General features: G+C 37.1%; 1 protein-coding gene and 1 long non-coding RNA gene across 5 annotated transcripts in view; one reads left to right on the top strand and one right to left on the bottom strand.

Annotated features, from left to right (window-relative positions):
* Positions 1-12,376, top strand: part of GPATCH2L (G-patch domain containing 2 like) — an 83,634-nt gene that overhangs the window by 65,108 nt on the left and 6,150 nt on the right. The gene's annotated exons all lie outside the window — the stretch shown is intronic.
* LOC105370575 (uncharacterized) overlaps positions 10,284-12,376 on the bottom strand; it is an 83,107-nt gene continuing 81,014 nt past the window's right edge. For both annotated transcript variants that reach the window (XR_001750833.3, XR_007064271.1), the window contains 2 exons: positions 11,398-11,621; positions 10,284-10,588 (listed from right to left, as the gene is read on the bottom strand). This is a non-coding gene — a long non-coding RNA (uncharacterized LOC105370575). The remainder of the gene's footprint in view (positions 10,589-11,397; positions 11,622-12,376) is intronic.

The following is a 12,376-nucleotide window of genomic DNA, read 5'->3' on the forward strand; positions in this document are numbered from 1 at the left end:
TATGCCAGGATAATTTTCAAATTGATGAGAGATTTAATTGTACAATTTAAACTATACAACTACTGGAAAAAAAAAGATGAATTCCTCTGTGACAGGGGTCAGCAAGCCACATAGCCTGTAGGCCAAATCTGACTGGCCCAAGGCCTAGTTTTGGACTGCTGCAAGCTAAGAACGGTGTTTTGTTTTGTTTTTTCTGCCACCTTTAAAGTGTTCAATAACAAAAGAGGAGACCATGGAACAGAGACTTTATGTGGTCGTAAACTCTAAAATATTTGCTATCCAAACTTTTATTTAAAAAAGACTGTGGACCCATGCTTTGTAACCTGGGTTAGCTATTGCATAATAATGCGACTGAACTCAGCTGGGGCACCTCTGCTCTAAGTGTCCTTCATCTCCTTGGACCAGTACAAAAATATACCCCACTCCTTTGGTAGAAGGGAATGTAAATCCACATGGCAAAGGATGGGGATATAGACAATGGAAAGTTTTGGGACCAATAATGTACTCTTCCACACTAAATACTACTAAAAATTTAGATGCAATAAGAGGAGATATATTTGACTGTTGAAAAAAAAACCTTGCATGCATATACACAGTAAGCAAACTAAAATACAAGTGATAACCCAGAAACATGGTTGCAACTTACATCACAGATTAAAGGCTAATACTCCTAATTTATAAACATAAAAATAGAGAATCTCCTGTAGACCACTGTAGAAGAGATATGAGCAGACAGTTGACAGAAAAAATGCAAATGTCTCTCAAACGTGAAAAGATGCTCAACTTTCCATATAGTCGATTGATTTTCACAGCAACCTAATGAGTAGATATTCTCATCATCCCCATTTAAGAGACAAAGAAACTGAGTCATAAAGATGTGAAGTATTATGCTTGAACACAAAAAGCTAAGAAGTAATGGTGCCAGGATTTGAACCCAGTCAGACTGGCTCTAGATGAAAGACTAATTTACCATGGCTAAATGAGGCTTATTTCAGGAATGCAAGGATCATTTAATATTAGGAATAGCTGGGTGTTTCCTTAATGTGATAAAATATATTTATCTCATCCAAAGCCTGCGTCATGCTTAATTGAGAATACCAGAAGCAATTTCATTGAAGTCAGGAACAAGAAAAAGATGTCCACTAATTATCACTATTATTTAAAAATGTTCTGTAAGACTTAGGCGAAACAATTAAGTGAAAGAAATTAAAGATACAGAAATTAGAAGAGAAGAGAAAATTATAATTTTAAGATGATACTGAGTTTTTTACTTAGAAACTAAAGAAGACTAACCAGACCTTACAAAATAAGAATTTAATAAATTAATTTTCAGAAATCAATAGCTTTTATAGATACAATGTCTAATTTCAAGCTCTAAGGGAAGAAAAGACCCATGTTGTAATAGCACAAAACATAAATGATAACATAGGAATAAACACAAGAAATATTATTTGTAGAAAATGTTAAAATGCTAATGAGAGATGAAACAAGACCCAAACAAACGGGAAGATACACCACGTTCTCTCATAGAAATACGCAGCATCATAAAGATATCACTTCTCTCGATTTACAAATGTAATGTGATCTTCAATAAAAATACCAATAGAATTGAAAAAAATTATATAAATTAATTCTAAAGTTCATATTAAAAAAAGATAGAGGGAGACTACTAGATATTAAAATTTATACATCTACAGCAATTAAAACAGAGTAGTAATAATTTGTGAGTAGTCATACAGATGAGTGGAACAGAACAGTTCAAAAATAGATCTAAATACTTACGAGAATTGAGAATATGATAAAGATGGCTTTTCAATCAGTGGAAAAAAGATTAGTCAGCAAATGGGGTGGGAACTCCTAGGTAGGGCTCTGGTGAAAAAAGTTAAGTTGGATCTATACTTCACCTCTTATACCAGGACAAATTACAGACAGTCTAAAGATTTAAACGTAAAAAATAATAATTTTTCTAAAAGTACAAAAAAAAAAAAAAAAAGGAAAGTTATTTTATAACCTAAGACTGGGGAAGGCCTTTCTAAGTATGACACAAAACCCAGAAGCCATAAAAGAAAAGATTGCTGGATTAGACTTCACAGAGAGAAAACATTTCATCATGGCAGTAGCACCATAAGCAAATGCAAATGAGAACTTGGGCAAGAAATGTGTAACTCTGCCAAGATGAGGGCCTAAGTTATCTAAAATAGAAAGAGTCCCTATCAATAAAAAGGAAAACACATTAGCAATCCAGTATAAAAATGGGCAAAGGAGATTAACAGAGACATGTAATAGAAGAGAAAATACAAATGACTTTGAAGCATACGAAAATGCTTAATAATAGAAGTTTTTCACCTACCAAAAATAATAAAGTTTGTTAACACGCTATAATGGCAAATGTGTAGTTAAATAGATGCTCTCATACATTGTATAAACTAGTGCCAAGTATAAAGAGTTGGCAGTATCTTATTAAAATTACAAAGGTTCATTACATTTTTAAACCCAGCAATCCTAGGAATTTGTCCTACAGATACAATTGTATCTATACATGTGAAATAACGTATGTCAACATAAAAATGTATAGAAAGATGAATCTCTAAGTAAAAAGGTTTTATTGGGGAGTAATACACAAGATGTGGGATTGCAATCCAGGTCATACATACAGACAGACCCAGGTGTCCTCCAGTATGTCCAGAGAAAAGGAAAAGGTTAGGGTTTTACTGGGGAAAGAGGAGGTTATACAAGTCGTTCTGAAAGAAAGTCATTGGAGGGGATAGTGTCTTTTGGGAGCTGGCAAGTGCTGATTTGTGAGTGGTGGCAGTTATTGGGTGAAATTTGTGATCTTAAAATTATGTTTTGTTTGATTGGCCTTGCATATGAGTCAATGTGTCAGGCAAGTGTTCTTAGAAAAGTGATTAGCTGCCCTGCTGTCCTTGTGTGACTTAAGTTGGTAAGCTTTGATTCGTTTCTGTTATCAGGCAAATCGTGCATGAAATCCCTCCTTTCATAGCCTTCCCTGGCTCCACGTTGTCAGGGTTTGACACAAGTGACTCCATTTTGAATCTGACAACTTTTGCATGAGCAGGACTAACCATTAGAATTCACCAGAGGTTAGTCAGCTTCAGTCCTCACACAAGGAAGGCAATTACACAAGGCTTTAATACCAGGAGGTTGGTCATTTGAGGTCATCTTAAAGAGGCTGCCTAACACATGGGTAAATATTTTAAAAACCTAACTATATCTGGCTTTCAAGAGGCATACTTTGAGTGTTAAGAGAAAAATTGAAAGTAAAAGGATGATAAAAAACACACCAACCAAGAAAAGGCTGATATAGCTATACAAATATCAGTTGAGATAAATGTAAGTCAAGAAGCATTACTAAGGACACAAAGGAACATTTCATAGAGATAAAAAGATAAATCTACCAGAAAGATAGAGTTTGTATTTTAATGCAACTAATAATATAGCTTCAAAATATAGAAAACAAAATTACAGACCTAGAAGTACCTGATAGTACAAGTAGTGATTAATAATATGGATGATTACAATAAAATGAATAATAAATTTAACCTAATTAATGTCCATAGAATACTATAACCAGCAGTGTCAGAAGAGGTATTCTTTCCAAGCACCCATTGAATTTTTACCAGAATTTATCATATGCTGGTCTTTAAAGTAAGTCCCAACAAATTCCAAAGGGTAAATCACCTAAAATATGTTCTCTGACCAAAGTGAAATTACTCTAAAAATCAATTTTTTAAAAACCCCAGCAGAGCCTGAAATATTTAGAAATTAAACATTACAATTCTAAATTATTGATAGTTCAAAAATAAATTGCAGTAGATGTTAGACAATATTTGGAACTATATGGCAATTTTTAAATGACATCAAAACTTGCATAAAAAAGGCTAAAAGTCAGTCTAAGTACGCATCTCAAAAAGTAGAAAAAGGATAGCAACAAACCCAGAGATTGGTTCTCTGAAAAGACTAATAATATTGATAAACCTCTAGCAAGACTGATTTAAAAAAAAAAAAGTCAAAAAAATGAGAACATAAGCCCCAGGCTGGGATAAAATGTTTGCAAAAGACACATCTGATAAAGGACTGTTATCCAAACTGTAAAAAGAACTCTTAAAACTCAGCAATAAGAAAAAAAAAAAAGCCCTAAATTAAAAAGTGGACAAAAGATCTGAACAGACACCTCACCAAAGAAGATATACAGATGGAAAATAAGCATATGAAAAGATGCTCATCAGAATAAAATAATAATGAGATGCCATGACATACCTATTACAATGGTGATTTTCCAAAACACTGACAACACCAAATGCTGGTGAGCATGTGGAGCAACAGGAACGCTAATGGGAATTAGCTAATGGGCATGAAAAATGGCACAGCTATGATGAAAGACGGTTTGGCAGTTTCTTGCAAAACTAAGCATGCTCTTACCATACAATCTAGCAATGATGCTTCCTGGTATTTATCCAAATGAGCTGAAAACTATGTCCACAGAAAGACTGCACACAGATGTTTATAGCAGATTTATTTGTAATTGCCCAAGATGTCTTTCAGCAGGTAAATGGATAAACAATCTGGTACATGCAGGCAATGGAATATTATTTAACTCTAAAAAGAAATGATCTATCCAGCCATGAAAAGAAATAGAGGAAATTTAAATGCATATTGCTAAGTGAAAGAAGCCAATCTGAAAAGGCTACCTACAGTATGATATCATCTATATGAACAGGCAAAATTATGGGGACAGTAAAAAGATGAATTGTTGCCAAGGGTTAGATGGGAAGGAGAGGTGAATAGGCAGAGCACAGAAGATTTTTAGGGCAGTGAAAATACTCTGTATGATACTACAATAATGGATAAATGCCATTATACATTTATCAAAACCCATAGAATGTATAACACTAATAGTGAACATTAGTGTATCAACTATGGACTTTGGATGATAAAGATGTGTAACTGTTTTATGATAATGTGTTGATTGTAACAAATGTATCACTCTGGTGAGGAAGGCTGTGCATGTGTGGGGGAAGAAGGTATATGGGAATTCTCTGTACTCCTGCTCAATTTAGCTGTGAATCCAAAACTACTCTAAACTCTATTTTAAAAATAGAAAAAAGGCACAGATTACCAATATAAAACCCCAGAAAAAGCCTGGGATTTTTTAAAACCCCAAACCTTCATATTCTAAGAATGTAATATGAAGAACTTTCTGTCAGCAAATCAGAAAATCCTCATGAAATGGAATTTCTAGGAAAATACAATTTACCAGCTCAAGAGTAAATAGAAGGCTGGGCATGGTGGCTCGTGCCTGTAATCCTAGTTCTTTGGGAGGCCAGGGTGGATGGATCATTTAAGTCCAGGAGTTCAAGACCAGCCTGGCCAACATGTAAAACCCCGTCTCTACTAAAAATACAAATAATTAGCTGAGCGTGGTGGCGTGCACCTGTAATCCCAGCTACTCAGGAGGCTGAGGTGGGGGAATCACCTGAGCCAGGGAGGTCAAGGCTGCAATGAGCTGAGATGCTGCCACTGCACTCCAGCCTGGACAACCGGAGTGAGACCCTGTAACAACAACAAACCCAAAAGAATAAATAGAAAATTTGAATTGTTTATATCTGTTTAAGAAGTTGAATCTGGGCTGGGCACAGTGGCCCACGCCTGTAATCCCAGCACTTTGGGAGACTGAGGCAGGTGGATCACTTAAGGTCAGGAGCTCAAGACCAGCCTGGCCAACATGGTGAGACCCCATCTCTACTAAAATACAAAAATTAGCTGGTCGTGGTGGCATGCTCCTGTAATCCTAGCTACTCAGGAGGCTGAGGCATGAGAATCGCTTGAACCTAGGAGGTGAAGATTGCAGTGAGCCGAGATCGCACCACTGCACTCCAGCCTGGGCAACAGAGTGAGACTGTGTTCAAAAAAAAAAAAAAAAAGAAAGAAAAAAAAGTTGAATCTGTAACTATAACTTTCCCACAAAAAAATCCCCAGTCCAGATTTTTTTCTTCACCAGCAAATTCTTTTAAACATTTAAAGAATTGACACTAGTCTTATACAAACTGTTTGAAATAATACAAAAAGAAAAATAATTCCCAATTCACTTTGAGGCTACCATAATTTTAATACCAAAGGGTGGCAGGTTCATTACAAGAAAGGAAAATTATAGGCCACTATATCTAATGAACATACTTATAAATATCTTAAAGAAAATATTAGAAAGTAAAGTTCAGTGAATTATTTATTTTAGGAATGCAAGATTTTGGCTTAACATCACAAAATCAGTGTTTTCAACCCATTCAACTGGATTTATTTTCAACAAACTATCTGGGACAACTGGATATCCACATGCGAAATAATGAAGTTGGATCCCTCTTTATACAATATGCAAAATTAACTAAAAACATATCAAAGACCTACACATAAGGGCTAAAACTAGAAAACATTTAGAAGAAAACAAATGCATAAATCTTCATGACCTTGGATGAGGTAATGGTTTATTAGATATGACACCACATGCACAAGCAACTGAAGAAAAAATAGATAAATAAGCCTTTATCAAAATTTAAAATTTTTTGCTTCAAAAAGACACTGTCAAGAAGATGAAACGACGACCACAGAATGGGAGAAAATATTTGCAAATCATATATTGGATAAGGGTCTGATATCCAGAATATATAAAGAACTCTTATGACTCAACAACCAAAAGGTAAACAATCCAATTTAAAAATGGGCAAAAAGACTCGAGTAAGCATTTCTCCAGAGAAGATGTAGGCATGGCCAACAAGCACACGAAAAGATGCTCAACATCATTAGTCACTGAAGAAACACTGAAACTACAAGATGCCACTTTACACCCATTCCTAGACAGTTAAAAACTTATGTACCCCCAAAAGCTTGTACACAAATGTTCATTTTAGCCTTATTTACAATAAACTAAAAGTGAAAACCACCCAAGTACCTATCAACTGATGAATGGTAAACAAAATGTGGTATATCTGTACAATAAAACATCATTCTGCCATGAAAAGACTGAAGTACTGATTCATGTGGCAACATGGATTAACTTTGAGAATATTATGCTAATTGAAAAACACCAGACAGAAAAGGCCATATTCCACTTACATGAAATGTTCAGAATAGGCAAATCCATAGAGACAGATATTGCAGACAGGCAGTAGATTAGTAGCTGCCAATGGGAAAAGGGGAATGGGGAAGGACTGCTAGTAGGTATGAGGTTTCTTTCTGCAGTGATGAAAATGTTCCGGAGTTATATGGTAATCATTGCACAACTTTGTGAATATACTAAAAACCACTGAATTGTACTCTTTAAAATGATGACTTTCAAGATATACGAATTATGTTTCCATTTAAATATTAGTGTATTTCACTACATTAGCATCGTAAGGCAGAAAAAATATCTCAATAGAATGATGCAGAAAAAGCATTTGATAAAATCAAATACTTATTCATAGTGAACACTTAACACACTAGGAATAGAAGGAAACATCTTTAAATTGGTAAAGATCAGTAAAAATCTTACAGGAAATATCATAGTTAATAGTGAAATATTAAAAGCTTTCACCTTGAGATTAGGAATATTTCCTAATACTATTTCTATTAAACATTGTACTAGAGATCTTAACCATTGCAATAAGGCAAGGAAAAGAAGTTACAGACTGCAAAGCATATGATTGTTTATGTAGAACATCCAAAAGAATCTATGGTCAATTAAATTTATTAGAAATAAGTAAATTTGGCAAGGCTACTGGATTCACGTTTACTCTACAAAAATCAATGATATTTTTATATATCTGCAATATTCAGTTCAAAAATGAAATTTAAAAATATTTACAATAGCATCGAAGACATAAACTGAGAATAAATCTAATGAAAGATGAGAAAAAATCTTTACATGGAAAGCATTACAGAGGAAAAATAAAGAAGGTCTAAATAAATGGAGAGATCTGCTGTATTCATGAATTGAAAGCCTCAATATTGTAAAGATGTCAGTTATTTTCCAACTGGTCTACAGAGTTAATGCAATTCCAGTCAAAATCACAGCAGATTTCTTGGGGGAAATTAAGCTGATTCTGAAACATGGAAACATTAGAGACCAAGAATAGAGAAGAGAGTGTTTAAAGAACACAGCTGGAAGACACACTGCTAGCTATCAAGACTTCTTATAAAGTTACAGTAATTAATACCATGTGGTATTGGTGCAAGAATAAACAAATAAAACAGTGAAACAGAACAGAGTCTAGAAGCTGATCCACACACATAGTCACTTAACTGAGGACAAAGGTAATGATGTAGTGCAGCAAGGAAGGGATGACCCGTTCAATATATGGTGCTGACTCAGTTGGATATTCACAGGTAATATACATCTTGATCCCTATTTCCACAACTTGAAAAAAACCAAGTCCATATAGATTGCATAATAAAGATGAAAGTGTAAAAAAGTAAATATTATGGTTAAAAAAAGGAAAGTGTCTTCATTTACTTGAAGTAGGTAAAGATTTAAAAAATAAAATATCAAAAGCACTACCTAGAAAGAGAAAGAAAATGATTACTATAATTATTGGATTATATTAAAGTTGAAATGTTCTATTTATCAAAAGACCCCATTAGTAAAAAAGCAAGCCACAAAATAGGAGATTATACCTGCAACACAAATATTTGACAAAGGACTTGCATTCAGAATCTATTTTTAAAAGTATTACAAATCAATGAAAACAAACAGATGATCCAATGAAATTATGGGCAAATGACTTGAAGAAAACATCACAAAAGAGAATATCTGAATGGCCAATAGATACATCAAAAAGTGCTTAAACATCATTAGTCATCCATGAAATGCAAATTAAAACCCAATGCGATATTACTACATACTCAACAGAAGGTCTAAAATTAGAAAGATAACACCAACTACTAAGTAAGGATACGGAGCAACGAACACTCTCATAAACTACTGTCAGGGAGTAAATTCGTACAACCACTTTAGAAAGTTATTTGACAATGTTTATTAAAGCTGAACATACACAAACCCAATCTACCAGAAATTCCACTCTAAAGTACAAACCCCATAGAAACATACATACACATACATATATGCATCAAAACATATGTACATAACAGTACTACATATAACAGTGAAAACTGGAAATGATACCAACACCCATCAACAGGGTAATGAATTCATAAGTTGTGTTATATTCATAGAATAGAACACTGTACAGAAATGAGGATTAACAAACTGTATGCAGCAACACGTATGAATCTCAGAATTACAGCGCTGAGCAAAAGAAGTCAAAGATGAGAATACATTGTATGATTCCATTTATATAGGGTTAAGAAGAAGCAAAACTGAACTTTGCTGTTACAAATCAGGATTGTGCTTGCTGTAGATGTGAGTAGTAACTGGAGGGAGAAAAAGGGCCTGTGGAAACTGTGGTCATGTTCTATGTCTTTGTTTAGAGGATGTGTTCTTGCTATATCCTGAATGTGTCCCTCCAAAATGTGTGTGTTGGAAACTTCATCCCCAATGCCACCGTGTTGGGAGGTGGGACCTAACTGGAGGTGTTTAGGTCATGAAGGCTTATGAATGAATTAATGACGCTATAAAAAGGGCTCGTGGGCGTGGGTTCACCCCCTTCCACCATCCGCTGTGTGAGGATGCAGCAAGAAGGTTCTCATCAGATTCTGATGCCTTGATCTTGGACTTCCCAGCCTCCAGAACTGTGAAAAGTAAATCTCTCTTCTTTGTAAACGACCCAGTCTCAGGTGTTCTGTTATAGCAGCACAAAATAAACTAAGAGAGTTCTGTTTGTAAAAGAGAGTGTACACGGAGCTGTACACTTATGATTGTGCATTTTTCTGGAAGTGTATTGTATTCAATAAAACAAGGCAAATGAAAGCCCAAAAAAGTGTGTGAGCATGGAGAGGTGTTTCTGAGTGTAAGGGGATGTCTGAGAGCTGAGCGGAGGGCATGTGCAATCCCAGCTCTGCTTTAAGCCCAGGGCCTCAGCAGGAAGTATTGCACAGGGTGCCTCCCTCCTGGACTGTCTGAGAGCTCCAGCCCTCCTGCAATTTGGGGATCCTTGAGGGCCCATGGCATTTTCTTTTCAAATAGGCTGTCAGGCCATGTATATTCTCCACGTTGTTTGAAAAGAAACTTCCACAGCATCAGATACACTGGGATTCTGACCCTGAGTCTTCTGGCCGGCATCTGTTCTGATTAGGATACTCACCCTCCTACACGATATCACTGGTGTGGTGTTTCTCCCTCTTCTCCTAACCTCAAAAGGCCTGAGCCCCTGACTGGCCAGTGTGGAGTGGAGGAAAGACCCCAGGCTGCAGGGAAATGAGACCAGTGGAGTACCAGAGTCCAGGGGGGAGGGACTCAGGCAGGAATGATTGTGACCAGCCGATGGGGTAGAACCCAAAGTATGAAGTTGATTCCTTGTGGAGAGACGAATCCAGGGGTGTGCAGCAACACTGTGTAGGATGTTTGCAACCCACAGCTTCAGTGGCAGCATCCTTGCAGGTCATTTGTGAATTGCGTAACACGAAATGAATCATGCTCCTGTGAAGACATATGCTTTTCGTTTAAGATATTAAACAGTAGCTCCTGTGAGTAACACAGATATAATCCTATACATTTATGAATGCATTGGATAAAGTACTACTTACAAGAACTCCATAGGATTGATATCCACACTGCATAGGTATGTAAAACATGAGTTGCCCAATTCCCCCAACAGGCAGAAAACAGACTCCTTGGCTCAGCCCCGTGAGTCTGCACCACAGGAATCCTACGTAGAATCAGAGTTGGAAAAGCCCGTTGCAGGTCACCTGGTCCAGCCTCTCCCAGGCAGAGGGCTCAGTCCCTGATTCCTGTCCTCAGGGAGCAAGGAAAGCAGGGAAAACCATCTACTCACTTCTCCCAGCGCAACTCCTATGTGAAAGGGAAATAGCAGTGGACAACCTGGAGCTTTCCAGAAGCAACACTGCGAAATAAACTAACACAGTTTCCGGATCTGTGTGGCTACAGCACTGATGAGGTTAAATGCTAACAAGACGGCTTGTCTGGAACCAAAGGGTGCGCATAGCTTTAGGTATCTGGATATTATTGTTTCGCATCGCCATTTAAAAGATAATAAAGTGGTATTGTTTCCTCTTTACCCTGAAACCCCAGAAGGAACAAAAATTCCCCTTTCTGTTACATACAAGATTCATAAGAGTTTTGTTTTGAATGTTGGATTCCTTTGGGGGAAGGGGGAACATAAATACTTGGTGTTTGATGTGTGTGTGTGTGCGTGCGCGCGCGTGTGTGTGTACACAAAGAAAGAGGTTGCTTTCTCCCTCTCACCTCCCTGCATTACAAGTCTTTACCTCTTGCTCTGAACTTGTAACTTTCCGCATTGTGCCAGGGGGCAGGCAGTTTCTAGGTTGTCGGTTTTCCAAGGTCATCCTTTGAGATTAGCGTTCTGTGGGTTGCATCTGTAATAAGTCAGACAAGGGTTTCTTCAGCTGACTTAGTAGGCTCTTCCCTTCTGATCTGAAACTGCTTAGGAAGTCTCAGCACAGCCCGTAGACTGTTTCGTTGCTATAAATTCCTAAAAGAAAACAAAAGCAGAGTTTCATCATTTTTGGTGCCCACTCCTCATCTGTCTCCTCCCTCTGTGTCCTTTGGTGACTGTGAAAGGATGTGACAGTGTCTGGTGGAGTTGGTGGAGAGAGAAACAGTGGCCTGTGGGTTGGAGCTCAGAGAAAGAGGTTATCCTAGGATGAAATATCAAACCATATCACATTGATTTTCCCTTTGGGGGGCCTGGATATCACATCCTTCCATTTCCCTCTAGTCCCTGCCCACCATCGACAGGGAAGCATTAACAGGGAATAATCAATGATGCTGTGTCCTGAAAATAAGAGGCTTGTCATGTCTCTCCATTTGGTGGAATGGATGTGGGACCAGGGGTCATGTGGCCGCTTCCATCTGTCTCCTGACAGAGGCACTGACTCAGACATGCTTTCCATCCACAGGGCTGCAGCCCACAGCCAGGTGACTGCAAGCTCTCCATGGGCATCAAGAAAAACAAGACTTCAATTTCTTTGAACCCCTGTGTCAGGAGCTAGGCTGACTATGAAATATGGCAGCTTAGGAGTGGCGTGAGTGAACTTTAATTTCTGAGTTTTGTAAAGGATTGATATTCCCTCATATGCTACATGCTGCTCTTGCTGTCAAACCAGGCCATGCATTCACTGTTTCATGATAGAATAAGAAATTCAGAATTGACAGGGACTAAACTCTGTGGCCCAGTCCCATTCCTCATCTGATATGTGAGTTCACTATAACTTTGCAGGTAAACCC

This window comes from Homo sapiens, chromosome 14 (assembly GCF_000001405.40).
Source record: "Homo sapiens chromosome 14, GRCh38.p14 Primary Assembly".
NCBI classification, from domain to species: Eukaryota; Metazoa; Chordata; class Mammalia; order Primates; family Hominidae; genus Homo; species Homo sapiens.